Here is a 21,018-nt window from a genome sequence, read left to right on the forward strand (position 1 = left end):
TGTTGAAATTGGGATTGTATTTAAAGCATTTCATCTGGAGAGGCTAGCAACAACAACAGATACTAACTGGTAATTTAGAAGCCGTGGAGGTGGAAGGAGCAAGTAACTGTTGACACCAAAACTAAGTCCCACCAAAGAACTGACTGTCCTCATTCTGAAGATGTTGCTGGACTCTTTAGTAGCTACACTGTCCCGGGGAGATTCTAAGAGAGTAATAACTGCTAAAACCATGGCCATATGTCATACCAGGGCCTTGCTTCGTAGAAACCATGTCCCCACCTCCTTGAGAACGATATTCTTACTGCACCCTTTATTCTTCCCCGTCTTGACAAACACTTTGCTCTGAGTTACAGAGGAGCTGCAGATAAGGGTTCCTCAAACTGAACCCCTCTCCGCTCTCCTAACCAAGGTCATAGGAAAAGTGGAGACAGACACACAAATGAAGAGAGGGAGATTAGAATAAATAGTGGACCGGACACAGTGGCTCACTCCTGTAATCCCAGCACTTTGGGAGGCCAAGGCAAGCAGATCACTTGAGGTCAGGAGTTTGAGACCAGCCTGGCCAATATGGTGAAACTACTATATGGTCTCTACTAAAAAACACAAAAATTAGCCAGTTTTGGTGGCAAGCGCCTGTAATCCCAGCTACTCAGGAGGCTGAGGCAGGAGAATCGCTTGAACCCAGGAGGCGGAAGTGGCAGTGAGCCAAGATCACGCCACTGCACTCCAGCCTTGGCGACAAGAGTGAGACTCTGTCTCAAAAAAAAAAAGTGAATTAAAATAAACCAATTAAATTCCATTTATCATTATGACCAATAGATACCATTACTTTATTCACTATGCACAGGCACTGAAACAGGCCCTAGTGAAACAGCAATGTTAAGGTAGCACTGTCCTCAATAAACCCAATCTGTTAGGAGTTTGCTGTCTTCATTTGATTTTTCTTCAGAATACAGCTCTTTTAGAAATGGGGAACAAAGAGACGGATGCCGGATGGAGTGCTAAAATGCCTAGGGTGCTCTGCTGGTTCACACTAAACTCTGCTGAACTTTGCTTTGACAGCTTATCAGGTACACTATTACATGTACTTGATAACTACAGGTACACTACCATGTGTGCCTGTAGTTTCTAGCATATCACCTTTTCTCCAAGAAGTTTAAGCCATACTCAAATGGCTAGTGATAAAATTTAGCACAGCATAACCTCAAGCTGGGACCAGGGACAGCCAAAACTCAACCTGAGAAACTCTAATTCCAAGAACATTTGGGGGAATTCCTGATCATGTTAAGGGAAAAAGAAATGGTTTCTGAAAAGAAAGAGAAAAATAAAAGCCCAAAATCAATAGTAAATGGAGAAACATAACTTCATAACTGCCTAAGCAATCTTTCATTGGCTTATAATACCGTAGCTCTAGGGTTACTCAGAAATAGAATGATGGCGTGTTTCTATGGGTTCCTTGAGGAGTTCATTCTTTCATGTAATTAGTTTGCTTACTTATTTGTTTGAGTGTGCATTTAGAACCTGTCTTAGTCTAAAAAAGATTTAAGGTAACATGCTACTATAATATCTTCGGAGAGAAATTGAACAATCTATGTGGTTTTCTTTGCCCTCATTAAAAGAGATTTCTACTGACTGGAGAAAAAGATTATCTAAGTAGGAAAGTAGTACAATACTCTGGTATGCCAAAATAACATTAAGAAATTCTCTGCATCGAAACAATGCCATTTGGCTGGGCGCAGTGGCTCATGCCTGTAATCCCAGCACTTTAAGAGGTCAAGGCAGGAGGATCACCTGAAGTCAGGAGTTCAAAACCAGCCTGGCCAACATGGTGAAACCCCATCTCTACTAAAAATACAAAAATTAGCTGGGCATGCTGGCACATGCCTATAATCCCAGCAACTTGGAAGGCTAAGGCAGGAGAATCTCTTGTACCTGGGAGGCAGAGGTTGCAGTGAGCTGAGATCGTAGCACTGCACTCTAGCCTGGGCAACAGAGCGAGACTCTGTTTCAAAAAAAAAGAGAAAAAATGACATGCAAAATATGCATTTTGAAGCCAATATTTTGCAGAGGAAAGAATATTATGCGCAATATACTTAGAGGAAGTCAGATTATTATTTTTATAAGCTACAGAGATGAAGGTGATACTGTCAAAGATGCCTTTTTGGTATAATGACATGTGAAGCTTTGTGATAGGAGCTGTTTACTGCAAGAGTTTAGAATGTGGCCATAAAATAACCCACTAATGGCAAACTATAGATATGTCAAGAAGACATTATTTTTCACTAGAAAAAAAAGGGTGAGCCCTTTCTAGCCTGTTAAGTGTATTGATGGCTTTTTGGCAGAGCTTTATTATTGTGAATCTCTCACTTGAAAAGCGTATTTCCGACATTTGTCACCTTGACTCCTTGGGGAGATTATTACACTGGTGGATTTTTAAGCTTGCTTTACAGGATATAAAAGTGTAGAGGATTAAACCATTTTTCCTTGGTCACTGCTAAGGGGACAGGCTAGGAACCATGAACTTAGATGGCGGCAGCCCTTTGCTGCCACCTCAAATTTCAAACTTCAATGACATTTCAGAAAGCCTAGGAAGCTTTTAAATGTAAATGGGAAGAGAAATCGATTTTGGCATTCCTAAGCCTATAGCAGGTCCTTCTAGATTCTAATAGAAATCTCAGTTTCAATTTTCAACATTTTGGTTTTGTTCAAAACTAATGCTGCACATATTTTCACTAACCATTAGTATAAGTAAGGTTTGGTGGAGAGTAAGCGGTCTCCACCAACTTGTACAGGTGGAAATGGACCTGAAGATCGTTCATCCAGTCCATGAATATTTACAGAGCAACAGTTGTGTAGTGCCCTCCTAAATTCCAGCATAACCAAGTGCCAGCTGTTAAGCAGCCTTCAGGCCAGAGGGGAAATAAGATAATCACATACAAAAAACGAAATAAGAACATAGGTCTGTGCATTCTTAAATGATCAATGAATGGGGCAGGCATTAAGTAGCCATCAACTGGTTCATTCTTTTCTTTTTCTTTCTTTTTTTTTTTTTTTTTTTTCTTTTTTTCTGAGATGGAGTCTGGCTCTTGTTGCCCAGGCTGGAGGGCAATGGCATGATCTTGGCTCACTGCAAACTCTGCCTCCTGAGTTCAAGCGATTCTCCTGCCTCAGCCTCCTGAGTAGTTGGAATTACAGGCACCCACCACCATGCCTGGCTAATTTTTGTATTTTTAGTAGAGACGGGGTTTCACCATGTTGGCTAGGCAGGTCTTGAACTCCTGACCTCAGGTGATCCACCCACCTCAGCCTCCCACTTTTCTTTTTTCTTTTTTCTTTTTTTTTGAGACAGGATCTCATTCTGACACCTAGGCTGAAATGCAGTGCCACTATCGTGGCTCACTGCAGCCTCAACCTCCCATGCTCAAGCAATACTTCTGCCTCAGCCTCCTGAGTAGCTGGGACTACAGGTGCACACCAACATGCTTGGCATTTTTTGTTTGTTTGTTTGTTTGTGTTTTTGTTTTGTAGAGAAGGGATCTCCCTATGTTGCCAAGGCTGAGCCACTAACTTTCTGAGAAGGGAGGTATCATTAGAGGATAGAGAGGCATCATTACTCAATGGAACCCGGCTTCCTGTATTCAAATCTTGGCTCAGCCATTTGCCAGCCCTATGACCTGAAGCAAGTTACTTTACCTACCTCTGCCTTGGTTTCTGATCTGTAAAGAGCCGAGGTAAGGGTGGGGATAATGTAGAAGCAAAAACTGACACTTTGCATTGTCTCCAATAAGATCAAACGTCTTACATTCCATAGTGAGGAAAAAAAAAAACAGAATGCTTTGAATATGAGATAAACCAAAAATAAGTCACCCTGTCTCATTCTGATCCCCAAAATAAAATCTTAAATATCTCCACAAACTCCTTAAAAAAAAAAGAATCTCTTGTTTTTGCTATGTTGGTATCTGAAGACGTGTCATGACTTTCGTGAACAGAATGATCATGTGAGAAAGTTGTTCCTTTTCCACCATAAGCAGATATGCAAACTTTGTACCTTTGTTAATTTTGTAGGTTTTATTCCTTTAAATGACTGTATTTTGTATTTGGTAAGCCCGAACTTCTGAAGTCTCACTCTGTTATATTCTTTGCAAGTAAACTTTCTTTTTCCCTTTTTCTTTCTTTTTTTCTTTTTTCTTTTTTTCTTTTTTTTGAGATGGAGTCTCGCTCTTGTCACCCAGGCTGGAGTGCAATGGCGTGATCTTCGCTCACTGCAACCTCCGCCTCCCAGGTTCAAGCGATTCTCCTGCCTCAGCCTCCCGAGTAGCTGGGATTACAGGCGCCCACACCCGACTAATTTTTGTGTTTTTAGTAGAGATGGGATTTTGCCATGTTGGCCAGGCTGGTCTTGAACTCCTAACCTCAGGTGATCTGACTACCTCGGCCTTCCAAAATGCTGGGATTACAGACATGAGCCACCGTAACCGGCCTTTTCTTTCCTTTTCTAAATGCTTCTGCCTCTGAGTCTTCCCTTAAGTTATAACAGTACCTACCTCCTAAGGCTATTGTAAGGATTGAATGAGTAAACATTTATAAAACACACAGCACAGGTGCAAGGGTTTTGTTAAATAATAAAGTGGAGGCCAGGGGCAGTGACTCACGCCTGTAATCCTAGCACTTTGGGAGGCCGAGGTGGGCGGATCACTTGAGGTCAGGAGTTCAAAACCAGCCTGGCCAACATGGTGAAACTCCGTCTCTAATAAAAATACGAAAAACCTTTTAGACAGGCATGGTGACAGGCGCTTGTAATCCCAGCTACTCAGGAGGCTGAGGCAGGAGAATTGCTTGAACCTGGGAGGCGGAGGTTGCAGCGACCCGACGTTGTCGTTGCGGCACTGCACTCCAGCCTGGGTGACAGAGTGAGACTCTGTCTCAAAATAATAATAATAATAATAAAGTGGAGAGAATTAGAAGGCTTCCCGGAGAAGAGTAGATTTTACTTGGTCCAGAAAAATGAGTAAGATTTAGATGGGATGAGGAAATGGCATGAGGACGAGGATGTGACAGCGTGACTAAGGAACACTGAGTAACCTCGTTGGAACGGAACAAAGGACTCACTTTGAGTGTGATGAGAGAGATACCATTGATGGGAGTTTCCAGTTTTGAATTACACATTGAAGGGCCTGTTCTTGTTGGTGAAGATAATAGGGAGTCAGTGACATATTTCTACTCAGTGACATGACTTGGCCACGACTCCGCTGTAAGCAGAATTTTCTTCCACAAATGCCTCTGGAAGCCAGAGCTTCCAGAAATCACAGAAATTTAACTTTATTTTGCATGCTGCCTGCTGCCTTTGCTGAAAATGAAGCACAGCACTGCTTGCTGCCTGCTCCCTCCAACCTCCATAATGTCAGTGGCTGCTGTTTCCTGCAATCTGCTTAGAGGCCACAATTGAAGTTATTTTGTAAACTAATTAGAGAAGCCACAATTAGCTTCTTGCGTATGTTCTAGCAGCATTTTTTCTGCCCATTGTATCTGAGGTCAAATCACTTCAGCTCATGATACAATTTCTGTTAGCACATTGAGTGCTGCGCAACCCTCACTGAGAACTAGTTCCAGAACTCTACTGCCACTGATCACAACACTAACCAAGAAGAGAAATTCATTTATGGGCCAGTCTAGACAGCATTGCTAATTCTCTGTAAAGTATTGGTGTGAAGCTTGCTTTTGTTTTGCTTCTTCACTTTGTTTTCTAGCATCTGAAATTCTATACTTCCTTTTTGATTTTCTAATTTTTAACAAAAATCGACCAGACGTGGTAGCTCACGCCTGTAATCTCAGCATTTTGGAATGCTGAAGTGGGAGGATCATTTGAGATCAGGACTTTGAGACCATCCTGGGCAACATAGCAAGACCTTGTGTCTACTAAAAATTAATAAAATACAAAAACAAGAAATTTAAAAATTCAATGCAACAGAAGACAAAGAGCCTTTCACAATTTTCTGCCAGTCAAAATACTTGCTGCCAAAATCTTTGACCCTACCTGAATCTTCCAATCCTTGGTGTTTTTCTGTCTCTGCAAGGGAGTCCAGAAGCTCTATGGGTGTGTTTCAGGGAATGTAACTACTCACCTGTAGCAATTCCAATTTACTTGGTAGCTAGATTAAATCATTTAGTCAGCATGGTATTGGGAAAAGAGCACTGGGTTCCTGTCCTGACCATGATACTCACACGTTACATGTTCTCAAACAATACACCTACATTCACTAAGCCTGATTTTTCTCATCTGTAAAACAAGAGGGTTGAACTAGACTAGACAACACCTAACATCCTTTCCACTATTAAAATTCTACAATCCATGATCTCATATGTATTAATTAATCAAGATTCCCTAAGTCAAGTCATCACACTCTGGGATACACTAATTATGATAGAAAACTTCTGACATAGCTCCCAATGTTCCATGACTCCTGATGTTCATTCCCTTATGTAATCCCCTGCCCTTCAGTGTGGGGTGGACCTGGCAACTTACTTCCAATCAGTAGAATACAGCAAACATAATGTGATGTCACTTTCATGATTAAGTACAATACTGCAATGCCAACTAATGCTAATCTGACGCTAACCACCTGGGGTTAGAGCAGACTCCACAGATGTAAAAGCACAGTCCCCAGACTGCCAGCATGTCAGGCACCAGCTACAAGTTTAGGGGTCCCCAGGCCACCGTCACTTTTGAACAATGAGCTACAAGTATGGGGAGATTTCACTCCCCCCACCACCAGGGTCAATAATTTACTAGAGCAACTCACAGAATTCAGGAAAGTGCTACACTTACAATTACAATTTTGTTAGAAAGGATACAAATCAGAACCAGCCAAATGAAGAGACACACAAAGCAAGGTCAGGAAGGGTCCCACACAGAGTTCCTGCGTCTGCTGTCTGTGGGATCAAGACACATCACCTTCCTGGTACATCAATGTGTTCACCAGCCAGAAAGCATACCCAAACTTCAGTGTCCAGAGTTTTTTATTGGCGTTCCATTATGTAGGCATGATTAACTGAATCACTGGTCATGTGATGTGATTAAACTCCATCTCCACACTTCTCTGCTCCCTGGGGTTTATGCTGAAAGTTTCAACCCTATAATCACATAATTGGCCGTGCTAGAATGGCCAATCCCTATGCTGAAACTATATGAGGACCCATCATGAGTTATCTCATTAGCATGAATTGAGGTGTGGTTGAGGGGCCCACCATGAGTAACAAAGACATTCCGAGAACTCAGGAAATTCCAAGGATTTAGAGGTTTTCTCCCAGGAACCAGGAGCAAAGACGAGACTAACTTTTTATTAAACAACATTAGGTCCCAAAATAATGTAACTTTTGTCTTGCTAGTAGAACAACTCTTTAACTGGCTTTGATGAAGCAAATGGCAAGGTATTGAGGGAAGCCTCAGTCAGTGATGCTGGAGAAACTGAATCTCATCAACTGTGTGAGTGAGGTCGGGAGTCTATCGTTCCCCAGCTGAGCCTTCAGATGAGGCCCTTGTAAATGAAAAATAAAATGCTAAGCGCCCCAGCTGACTGAATGGACCCCTCCTCTCAGCCAAGGGGAGTTCAAAGAAACCTTTAAAAAACTAGTTTGGGCCATGATGGGAAGTTGGGGGTCAGATACGCCTCATTATACTCTCCTCTCTTTGGAATTCAGGCACAACTGACCATCATTAATATTAAAGCAGAGATCTTAAGACTGACAAAAGAGACTCTTTGTAGCAATAAGATGCCAAATTCCAACCTGACTCTAGGATAGCATCGTGACAGCAGGCCCTGAAAGTATTTTACCCTAAAATATATTTCCCTGACTTTTTTTTTTTTTTGAGACAGAGTCTCACTCTGTCACCCAGGCTGGAGTGCAGTGGCATGGTATCTCAGCTCACTTTAACCTCTGCCTCCTGGGTTCAAGCAATTCTTCCACCTAGGCCTCCAGAGTAGTTGGGATTACAGGCATGTGTCACCATGCCCAGCTAATTTTGTATTTTTAGTAGAGACAGGGTTTCACCATGTTGGCCAGGCTGGTCTCGAACTCCTGACCTTGTAATCCACCAACCTCAGCCTCCCAAAGTGCTGGGATTACAGGCATGAGCCACTGTGCCCGGCCACCCTGATATTTTTTCAATGGCCCTGCAAAGTTAACTTGTGTAGGGGAAATCTACATTCTGTAGAGAATCCTCTTCTCTTTCCAGGTCTGTTTCTGATCCTGAAGAGATTAGCTGAGCGTTTAGCACCTTTTGAAAGTCTGAATAGAAAATATTTGGCTGGGTGCAGTGGATCATGCCTATAATCCCAGCACTTTGGAAGGCTGAGGCAGGCAGATCATTTAAGGTCAGGAGTTCAAGACCAGCCTGGCCAACATGGTGAAACCCCGTCTCTACTAAAAATATAAAGATTAGCCAGGCATGGTGACACATGCCTGTAATCTCAGCTACTTGGGAGGCCAAAGCAGGAGAATCACTTGAACCTGGGAGGCAGAGGTTGCAGTGAGCTGAGATCATGCCATTACACTCCAGCCTGGGCAACTTAGCAAGATTCTGTCTCAAAAAAAAAAAAAGAAAAAAAAAGTTTGCCATCTATTTCTTGTAAGGGTGGCCACCTATGAGACTTCTTCTATGTAATAAGAACCTTGGTCTTCACAGCCCCTTGTCTTAACCCAGACACTCCTTTCTATTAATTCCTAGTCTTTAGATATTAATTTAACTCTTTCAATTTATTGCCAATGAGAAAATCTTTGAATCCTCTTACGACCTGTAAACTCCCACTTTGAGTTGTCCCACCTTTTCAGATTAACCAATACACACCTTACATGTATTGATTTATGTCTCCTTAAAATATATAAAACCAAGCTGTAACCTAACAACCTTGGGTACATGTTCTCTGGACCTCCTGGAGCTGTGTCGCAGGTCATGGTCCTCATATTTAGCTCAGAATAAATATCTTCAAATATTTTACAGAGTTTGGCTTTTTCATCAACACCCTTGATTTCAGTCTTGTGAGAACTCCTGAAGCAGAGGACCCGGCTAAACCCTTCCCAGTTTCCTGATTCATGGTAACTGTGAAATAATAATTATGTGTTGTTTTAATCTGCCAAATTTTGAAATAATTTGTTATACGATACACATAACTACTACACTGGCTCTATTATGACTAAAAGCCAGTGATGTCCTGAACACAGAGAATGGGGAAATTAAAGAAATAGATTTTCTATGCTAATGCTAAGTGAATGATAAAATGAGATGGATTTGTTTAAGCAGAAAACTACCAGGATTCTGAACTTCTTATCTTAGAAACAAAGTTGGAAAAGCTTGGCAATAAATCCTAATGTTAACAATGTTCATCTTAAACTGTATGCCAGGCATGGTTCTAAGTACTTTATAGTAATTATCTCATTTAATTCTCAAAATAATTCTATGAGGGAGTTATATTTATCGTTCCTATTGCAGATAGGAAAACTGAGGCATGGAGAGACTGAATGACTTACCTTAGATAAAATAGGAAGTAAGCTGTAAAGTGAAGATTTGAACCTCTAGTGGCCAGAATTCAGAACTATTGCACTAAAACACTACATTACACTGCCTCCAATAAAAAAAACTGCAGGCTGGGCACTGTGGCTCACACCTGTAATCCCAGCACTTTGGGAGGCCAAAGTAGGTGGATTGCCTGAGCTCAGGAGTTCAAGATCAACTCTACAGGAGATGAAACCCCAGCTCTACAAAAAATACAAAAATTAGTCAGGTGTGGTGGCGTGCACCTGTAGTCTCAGCTACTCAGGACACTGAGGCAGGAGGATCGCTTGAGCCTGGGAGGTCAAGGCTGCAGTAAACAGAGATTGCGACACTGCACTCCAGCCTCAGAGTGATATCCCATCTCTACAAAAGAAAAACCAAAAAACAAAAAACCTCACACTGCAAAGCCTCACATTAATTTCCCAAAGTTCCACTTTCAAAGAGTTGCTTCCCCTAAGGTTTAACTACTATTCATATGTCATTGTTACAAAAGAGGATATAAAGTATCTCAATAATTCTACAGTACGTCATAATTAAAATAAAATCAATGGAGTAAATTGGAACAAGGAGAATATAAAAATTAAAAAAATAGAATGAAGCTCAGAGCAAAATGAAAGCTATGAGGGTTTATTCACCGGAGAGATAGAAATTACAAAGTTAACTCTGAATGTTCAAGATTCCAGGCAAAGAAAAAATATATATGATCAATTACATGGTCCACAGTGCTCTCAAAAGATTAAAGAAAGTAGTTGCACAGGAAAAAAAATATATTATCCCTAGTTGAAACCAGAAGAAAATTTTTCCTGTAGGCTCCCACAAAGGAGACACTGTGTAATACAGTCATCAACCACCTCAAAAATATCTATAGGATGCTGAAACAATGCTATCCAGCTTCCTGCTGATGGTCCAACACATGCACAGATTTTAGAATCATTAGAAATATTGATGAAATGCCTAACTTATCTTTTTTTCTTTTTAAATTTTATTTCTCAATTTTTTTATTCCTCCTACTCTCTGATACCTGCTCTTTTGTGGTTTGAACATTAGTGGAAAATCTGTAAAATTTGGGGCTGAAAATGAAGACCAGGTATAAAATCACCATAGCCACTAAAATGGCTACAACGAAGCAGAAAAGGAGGGGGAATAAAAGGAGGGTGTGGTTCCCTCAATAAAGAAACTGCTTCCTTCATGCTGACAAACTAACCCTCATCTCTCTATATATATATATATGTTCTGCATTCTGTTATTCCCCCAGTCAAATTTATTATTTTTTTTTAATTTTTTTTTGAGACGGAGTTTCACTCTTGTTGCCCAGGCTGGAGTGCAGTGGTGAGATCTTGGCTCACCGCAACCTCTGCCTCCCGGGTTCAAGCGATTCTCCTGCCTCAGCCTCCCGAGTGGCTGGGATTACAGGCAAGCCTCACCACACCTGGTTAAGTCGGTATTTTTAGTAGAGACAGTGTTTCTTCATGTTGATCAGGCTGGTCTCGAACTCCCGACCTCAGTGATCCACCCGCCTCGACCTTCCAAAGCTCACGCCTGTAATCCCAGCACTTTGGAAGGTCTGGGCGGATCACCTGAGGTTGGGAGTTCGAGACTAGCCTGACCAACATGGAGAAACGCTGTCTCTACTAAAAATACAAACTTAGCCAGGTGTGGTGCCGCATGCCTGTAGTCTCAGCCACTCGGGAGGCTGAGACAGAAGAATTGCTTGAACCTGGGAGGCAGAGGTTGCAGCGAGCAGAGATCATGCCACTGCACTCCAGCCTGGGCGACAGAGCGAGACTCCACCTTGTTAGATATGAGTTCTAAATTTCTTTTCAAATAATTAATATGTCAGTATGTTCAATTCTTTGCCTTCTACTTTTAAACTTAACTTCCTCGTAAAGCAACCTTTTTCGATTACCCTCCACCCTGACTCCTTCCGATTACCTACTCCACCCTGACTCATTCCAATCACCTGCTCCACCCTAACTCATTCCAATTACCTGCTACCTGCTCTGCCCTGACTCCTGCCAAAGCACTCACCCCGTCATTCTCTTTAAATTAGCCAATCGGAATTAGTTTAGCCTGTGTGGTCTAACCCTAGCCAATAGGGGAACGACACAGCAGCAGGGGCCACATGTGTCAGGGATAAGAACCCCTTCCCCTCCCTTGTCCAAGTGTGTGCTCACCATTGTTCCATCTATAAGGGTGCACCCTTCTATATAGAAGTACCTTGCCTTGCTGAGAATTAAAAAGAAAATTTTATACTCGAGTGTTATTCCTTTTGTGGCACCGAAACTTTATATATAACACACCTCAAAAAAAAAGAAAACAGACAGGGTCTCACTCTATTGCACAGACTGGAGTGCAATGGTGTCATCATAGCTCACTACAGCCTTGAACTCCCAGCCTCAAGTGATCCTCCCGCATTATCCTCTCAAGTAGATGAGACTACAGGTGTGTGCCACCACAGCTGGCTAATGTTTTTATTTTTTGTAGAGGTATGGTTCTCACTGTGTTGCCCAGTCTGCCTCAACTCCTTGGCTTCAAGTGATCCTCCCTCCCTGACCTCCCAAAGTGCTGGATTACAGGCATAATTGCATCTGGCCCTAGTCAAATTGTAAATATGCTATTCAGACACACTAGATTCAAACACTTACAGCTTCTTATTTTGAAGTTGCAATATGATACTTATTCTTTGCTGTGAAATCTAAATCCTCTGAAACCACCCTCCACAGCCCAGCAGGAAAATGTCCTGCCACACGTAGCTATTTGAAGTCTCTGGCTCGCCTATTTGAATGCTCATTATTTCCTAGATTCAAATGGCCTTATAAATGCACCTATTGTATGATTATGGAAGAACTATTAAAAATAATTCAGGAAGCCAAAGGTTATAAAACAGAGACATGAGTAATTGCTTTGGTCTGTGATCTTTAAATGGCATGCATAAAAGACCAAGCATTTAAAGTGGGGCAGGATAAGGCAAAACACAGCACAACTTCCCAGAATGTCCTTTAGCAGATCAATGCTTATGGCTGTCTAATTTCATGTGATTATTAGAATAGACAAGTGAAGGCCGGGCGCGGTGGTTCATGCCTGTAATTCCAGCACTTTGGGAGGCCGAGGAGGGCAGATTCCTTGAGCTCAGAAGACCAGCCTGGCAACATGGTGAAACCCTATCTCTACTAAAAACACAAAAAATTAGCCAGGTATAGTGGCATGTGCCTGTAGTCCCAGCTACTCAGGAGGCTGAGGTGGGAGAATCACCTGAGCCCAGGAGGTCAAGGCTACAGTGAGCTGAGATCATGCCACTGCATTCCCACCTGGGCAAATGGAGTGAGACACTGTTTCAAAAAAAAAAAAGACAAGTGAGTCTCAAAGGAAAGAACTAACCATGAAGGGGACTTCTCAGAACCTGGAGAAGTGGACTATGTAAATTGAAATCACATTATAATGTTATACTATTATTTATATTGGTTAAAGGAAAAATGCATATCTTCATTGTAAAAACTTCTTCCTCTTTTCCTTTTTTTTTTTCTTTTTTTTTTTTAGATGGAGGGAGTCTCCCTCTGTGGACCAGGCTGGAGTGCAGTGGCACGATCTTGGGTCACTGCAACCTCCACCTCCCGGGTTCAAGCAATTCTCCTCCCTCAGTCTCCCGAGTAGCTGAGATTACAGGTGTGCACCACCACACCCGGCTAATTTTTGTATTTTCAGTAGAGACAGGGTTTTGCCAGGTTGGTCAGGCTGGTCTCAAATTCCTGAGTTCAAGTAATCTGCCCATCTTGGCCTCCCAAAATGCTGGGAAAGGTGTGAGCCACCATACCTAGCCCTGTAAAAATTTCTACAAGTAACATTTGCAAAAAACAATCTTGGCTGCTGAGAATACAAAGAAACAATGATTCTCAGAGTCATAAGAAAGCAGGGGAAATGAGGGTGTGCCTCTCTGTGGATACACTCAGCACCTCAGGACAGGACCTGAGATATCTATGATTATGAAAGATAACAGGGGCCATGCACAGTGGCTCACAAACACTTTGAGAGGCCAAGGCAGGAGGATCAGTCGAGCCCAGGAGTTCAAGATCAGCTTGAGCAATATCACAAGACCTCATTTCCACAAAAACAAATTTTAAGTTAGCTGGGCTTGGTGGTGTGCACCTGTAGTCCCACCTACTCCAGAGGCTGAGGCAGGAGGTTTGCTTGAGCCCATGAGTTTGAGGCTGCAGTGAGCTATGATCACAACACTGCACTCCAGCCTCTGACACCACAGGTGACAGAGTGCAACCCTGTCTCAAAAAAAAGGATAATGAAGAAGGTATAAAAGAAGACATGGACTTAAAAGTTTAGAAAATTGGCCGGGCATGGTGGCTCACACCTGTAATCCCAGCACTTTGGGAGGCCAAGGCAGGAAGATCACGAGGTCAGGAGTTCAAGACCAGCCTGACCAACATGGTGATAGCCCGTCTCTACTAAAAATACAAAAATTAGCCAGGCATAGTGGCGGGCGCCTGTAATCCCAGCTACTCAGTAGGCTGAGGCAGGAGAATCGCTTAAACCTGGAAGGCAGAAGTTGCAGTGAGCCAAGATCATGCCACCGCACTCCAGCCTGGGTGACAGAGACTCCATCTCAAAAAAAAAAAAAAAAAAAAGTTGGGAAACATTGTACCAGCCAGTGGGCTGTGTCTAACTCATCTTCCTTTCCCCCAAGCCTATAATTCCATTTAACAAAACTCTAGCACAAATAAATCTAATCTATGGTGATGGAGTGAATATCAGTGGTTGCTTGGGGCAGGGGCTGTGGGAAATGGAAACTGATTGGAAAGGGGCAAAAGGAAACCTTTCGGGGTAATGAAAATGTCCTATATCTTGAGTATGGCGGTGGTTGTATGAGGATATATATTTATTATTCATCAAACTGTACCAATAAGTGTGTACACTTTATTATATGCAAATTGTACCATTATTAAGGTTTTTTTAAGACTATGTTGCCCAAGGTGAACTTGAACACCTGGGCTCAATCAATCCTCCAGCCTCACCCTCCTGAGTAGCTGGGACTACAGGCACACGACACCACGCCCATCTGTTAAGTTGATTTTAAAAGGAACCACAACATGTTCAAAAGAGAACCCTTGCCCTAAACCTGCTCCTCAAGTCTTCCCCATCTCAGGAAATGTCAACTCCATTCTTTCATTTATTTAGATCTTGGAGTCATCTTTGACTGCTCTGTCTATTTAATCTACATTTTCTTTATTTTCATTTACATTTGAAGGACACCCAGACTCTGATCTCTTCTTAGTACTTTTCCCTCTTCCATCCTGGTGCAAGCCACTGTCCTCTCACTGATGCAGGAAACTCTGAACTGGTCTCCCGCTTTCATAGCCTCCTGGCTTCTCCACTATTCTCCCTGCCATGACCAGAGTGGTCCATTTGTAATATTTTTGCTCACATGACTCCTGTGCTCAACACCCCCCATAGTTTCCTTTCTAATTCAGTACAAATTCCAGAGTGCTTACATGGCCTGCAAAAGAACCTACGTGATCTGTCCCCAACCCTCTCCCTCACATTCACATATTCTCTCCCACCCTCAACGCACACACCTCTACGCTTCTCATTACAATTCTCTATGCTCACTAGGCTCACTGCCCTCTATGCTGTTTTTCAAACACACCAAGCACACTTCCGCCTCAGGACCTTTGACTTGTGCCTTTGCCTTCAATAACATTGACATCCTCCCAGATATCCCGAGGCCTCATCAGAGAAGCCATCACTGACTGGCCCATATAATAGCATTCCTTCTCTCTCTCTATCCCTCAGTCCTGCTTTATCTTTCTTCATTTAACTTGTCTTACAGATTGTATGTGTTTTTTCTCTCCCCTAACTAGAATGTATTTTGTATGTTTTGTTTGCTGCTGTATCCCAAGAGCCTAGAGCAATACCTGGCATATTAAAGATGATCAACACATTTTTGCTAAATGAATTAATGAGTCCATTTTTCTTTCCTTTCAAGTCCTGACCATGAATATTTTAAAATTGGCCTGACTAAAATGTAACTCTTGGCTGGGCGTGCTGGCTCACACCTGTAATCCCAGCACTTTGGGAGATCAAGGAGGGCAGATCACCTGAGGTCAGGAGTTAGAGACCAGCCTGACCAATATGGTGAAACCCTGTCTCTACTAAAAATACAAAAATTCCCCAGGCGTGGTGGTGGACACCTGTAGTCCCAGCTACTCAGGAGGCTGAGGCAAGAGAAAGAGAATCACTTGAACCCGGGTGGCGGAGGTTGCAGTGAGCTGAGATACTGCCACTGCACCCACCCTGGGTAACAGAGTGAGACTCTGTCTCAAAAAAATAAAAAATAAAAATAAAATGTAACTTTTGATTATTCTCATTGTGCTGAAACCTGTGCCTCCTTTAGTCTCTTTTTCCCATTTAAAGGACTCATCCTTCACCTTCGTGCTCAAAAGACTGGAAATCATCCTTGATTCCTCTCCTTACCTCATCTACCACATTCAATCCATCAAAGATGCTTTTATTAATAGATCTATCTCCAAAATATATCCTAATCCAACTATTTCCTTATATCTCTACTGCCACCATCCTAGTGCAAGCCAACATTGTCTCTGCCCTGGATTATTAAAATAGATTCCTGACTATTCTACCGATATCCTCTTCCAATTCAATATCCACACAGAAGCTGGTGACATTTTCTTTTAGTGGTTGTTGTTTTTTTGTGGGTTGTTTTTTTTTTTTTTTTTTTTTTTGAGACGGAGTGTCCCTCTGTCACCCAGGCTGGAATATAGTGGCGCAATCTTGGCTCACTGCAACCCTCGCCTCCCAGGTTCAAGCAATTCTCCTGTCTCAGCTTCCCCAGTAGCTGGGATTACACATGTATGCCACCACACTCGGCTAATTTTTGTATTTTTAGTAGAGACAGGGTTTCACTATGTTGGCCAGGCTGGTCTCAAATTCCTGACCTCAGGTGATCCACCTACCTTGGCCTCCTAAAGTGCTGGAATTACAGGTGTGAGCCTCCATGCCCAGCCGCTGGTGACATTTTCAAGTCAGAATATATTATTTCCTGATGAAAAGACCACAAACTTCAGTGTCCAGAGTTTTTACTGGCATTTCATTATGTAGGCATGATTGATGTAGGTCATGTGCTGTGATTAAACTCAACCTCCAAACTCCTTGCTCCCTGAAAGTTGAGCTGAAAGTTCCAACCCTCTAATCACGTAGTCGTTCATTCCAGCATGGCCAATCCCTATACTAAAACTATACAGGGGTCCATCATGAGTCATCTCATTAGCGTAAATTCAGGTGTGGTTGAGGGGCCCACCAAGAGGAACAAAGACACTGGTATAACTCAGGAAATTCCAAGGATTTAAAGGTTATCTCTCAGGAACCAGGACCAAAGACCAGAAAAATTCTGTATTATACAACAGACCAACTGTTCTGGTCTGAATGTTCAGCTGCCTTGAGCCCTTAGAATAAAATGTAATCATCTTCCTATGACCTAGAAGACCCTATGTAATCTATCTCTTGCCTATTACCTCCCTCTCATTATCCTCCAACCCCCTGGCTTTCTTTCAGAAGCACCAAATTCATTCTGACCTGGTATTCTCTTGCTTGAATCCCGTGATGGTTAATTTGATGTGTCAACCTGACAGGGCTATGGGGTGAAATGGCCTTTTGAAGACTCAGTGACTCAAATGTCCATGGTCTGCACTCCTACAACTAAAGGAAAATGCACTTATAAATATAAAGAGATGGAGGAGATGTATTAGAGAAGGTTTGCAAGTATTCCTATTGCAAGTAAACATGAAACTACTTTACCAATTTCTACCAATGTTGAAATATCTTATGTTCCAGTATTAGCCACTCTGACCTTAAAATATTCAAACTCTTTAATTCATTAATGTCTGATATAGTTTGGACATTTGTCCCCTCCAAAATTCATGTTGAAATGTAATCCCCAATGTTGGAGGTAGGGCATGGTAGGAGGTGTTTGTGTCATGTGGGCAGATCCCTCATGAATGTCTTGGTCCTGTCCTCGTGACAGTGAGTGAGTTCTCACAAGATCTGGCTGTTTAAAAGTATGTGACACATCCTGCCCCCCTTGCTGCCTCTCACTCTTGCCATGTGACGAGGCTGCTCCCACTTCACCTTCCACTGTGATTGTAAGCTTCCTAAGGCTTCACTAGAAACAGATGCTAGAGCCATGCTTGTACAGCCTGCAGAACTGTAAGCCAGTTAAATCTCTCCTCTTTTCTTTATAAATTACCCAACCTCAGTTGTTTCTTTATAGCAATGCAAGAACAGCCTAACACAATATCACTCCTGAGAAATTATTCTAAAATAGTTTTAATTTTTAATTTTAATCTGTAATGTAAGTAAAAAATTAGAAACAACCAAAGTGTCCAATATTTGGTAAATGGATGGGTTAACTGTAGACATTTTTTTTTTTTTTGAGATGGAGTCTCACTCTGTCACCCAAGCTGGAGTGCAGTGGTGCCATCTCGGCTCACTGCAACCTCTGCCTCCCAGGTTCAAGCAATTCTCCTCCCTCAGCCTCCCGAGTAGCTGGGATTACAGGCACATGCCACCACACCCAGCTAATTTTTGTATTTTTAGTAGAGACGGGGTTTCTCCATGTTGGCCAGGCTGGTCTCATACTCCTGACTTCAAATGATCTGCCTGCCTCGGCCTCCCAAAGTGCTGAGATTACAGACATGAGCCACCCTGCCCAGCCTAGACATTTAACATTATAATTACCAATTGCTGTGGTCTGAATGTCTATGCTCCCCCAAAATTCATATGTTGAAACCTATTCCCTAATGTGATAGTATTAAGAGGTGGGGGTTTGGGGAGGTGATTAGGTTATAAGGGTGGAGCCCTTAGGAATGAGATGAGTGCCCTTATAAAAGAGGTCCAAGGAAACTTATTCATCCTTCCCATCAGGTGAGGACACAGCAAGAAGGCATCATCTATGAAATAGAATGAGCCCTCACTAGACATGAAATCTGGTGGCACTTTGATCTTGGACTTTGCAGCCTCTAGAACTGTAAGAAAGAAATTTAAATTGTTTATAAGCCACCTAGTTCATGGTATTTTTATTACAGCAGTTTGAATGAACTAAGTCACCAACCTTATACAACATCAAGGAAAAAAATATTTCTAATATGTTATATATTTTTTAAAAACCCACCAAAATGTATTTGTTTACTTTTTTTTTTTTTTTTAGACAGGGTCTTGCTGCGTCACCCAGGCTGAAGTGCACAGGCACAATCATGGCTCACTGCAGCCTCAACCTCCTGGACTCAACTGATCCTCTTGCCTCAGCCTCCTAAATAACTGGGACCACAGGTGCTCGCCACAATGCCTAGTTATTTTTTTATTTTTTTTTTTAGTAGAGACAAGGTCTTGCTATGTTGCTCAGGCTGGTCTTGAACTCCTGGGCTCAAGCAATTCTCCCACCTCAGTCTCCCGAAGTGCAAAGTTTAAATTTATAGATTTTTGGCCGGGCCCAGGGGCTCAGGTCTGTATTCCCAGCATTTTGGGAGGCCGAGGCAGGTGGATCACTTGAGGTCTGGAGTTCATGACCAGCCTGGCCAACATGGTGAAACCCTGTCTCTACAAAAAATACAAAAATGGTACCATGCACCAGTATCCCCAACTACTCAGGAGATTAAGGCCGAGAATTGCTTGAACTCAGGAAGCAGAGGTAACAGTGAGCCGAGATTGTGCCACTGCACTCCAGCCTGGGTGACAGAGTGAGACTTTGTCTTAAAAAATAAATAAATAAATAAATTTGTAAATATTTATGTTAAAAATATGTAAAATGAGAGTATAGTATACAAGGAATTGCAGAGAAGTGAAACTACTGTATTAGAACAGCAAAAATAGAGGTAGTTTATGTTTTTTAATTTTTTCTTTAATGCTGGTTCAATAAATTTTTACAAGAAAAATTTTATACAAAACACAATGATGTTTACTCTCAGATCTTGTGGGTACTATTCAGCAATGTATGCCTGAAGACTGGGTTTTCGAAACCTGCTGAACCTAAGAACTTCCTGAAGTTCTTGTTAATATAGGTTCCCTGGATGCACCCCAGATGCATTGAATCCACGTCTCCAGAGAAGGTACCCAAGAATCTTTGTTTTTAATAAGCACTGATGATTTGGCAACCACTAATTTCGGGCAGCAAATGACATCATTGTGACTTGAAAGAGCCAGTGTCTACCAATTGACTTGCACCCATAAGTATATGTTTCTCATGCCTCCTTATTCCCTCTTATTAAAGAACCTCAACCTTGTTCTTTTATGAGCTCAAAGGATAGCAATGTTCTCAAGTAATACATGCTAACAGAAAAAAAAAATTAGAGCCTGCCTTGGGTTACTCAATGAATTACAGGTAGAGAGCAGACCAAGATATTGTTTATGCAATCTGCAGGCAGAAAAAAAGAAGCTATTTTTTTAGTGGCATTAAAATGATTGCAATGATAGATTGGGAAGAGGGTAATAACAGAAGAAGGAAGTAGATAGGAACACAAAATCAAGCTTCCTATAGTCAGAGGGAAAGATGCCCCTGTTCCTTCATTTTCCTTCCCACCCTCAGCCAAAGTTAAGGGTGAGTGGCTACACAGTCAGAGTCTGTCCAGGAACCCAGCTCAAGTTTTGTTAGGCTAAATGCTGTGAAGAAGTTCCCAGGGGGAAATGGTGGCCATATATTCATTTCCAATATGTGACAAGGTGGAAGGGTGTTTCCAGAACCTGTCAAATGAACTGTGAAGATATGTACTGGGAGACTCAAGAGAAAGAACAAAGTACAAAACAGGTCAAGTGACTCAGTGGTTTGGTTCTTGACTGCATACCCCCTTTTTTAGGCAACAGCCAAACTGATGATGAGAGCAGCCAAGTTACTTAGCGCCCCTATATTAGTCTGTTCTCACACTGCTATAAAGAACTGCCTGAGACTGGGTAATTTATAAAAGAAAGAGTTTTAATTGACTCATAGTTCCACATGGCTGGGGAGGCCTCAGGAAACTTTAATCATGGCAGAAGGAGAAGCAAATAAGTTCTTCTTCACACAGCAGGAGGAGAGAGAAGAATGAGAACCAAGCAAAAAGAGAAGCCCCTTATAAAACCATCAAATCTTGTGAGAGCTTACTATCACAAGAATAGCAGGGGGGAACCACCCCCATGATTCAATTACCTCCCACCAGGTCCCTCTCACCACACATGCGGATTATGGAAACTACAACTCATGAAGAGATTTGGGTGGGGACACAGCCAAACCATATCAGCCCTCCACTGTACTGGACAAGAGCCTCCCCCTACTATGCATCTTGCTGGCCCAGCCCATAAGATTAAGAACCTGCCTGCCCTGGTTTTCCACTTAACTCTGCAAGTTCACACTTAATCCAGCCCAGAACATTACTAGCTCACCTAGGAATTCTCATTTATGCCTTTTTCTCATCAGCCTC

Source organism: Homo sapiens, chromosome 1 (assembly GCF_000001405.40).
Source record: "Homo sapiens chromosome 1, GRCh38.p14 Primary Assembly".
NCBI lineage: Eukaryota > Metazoa > Chordata > Mammalia > Primates > Hominidae > Homo > Homo sapiens.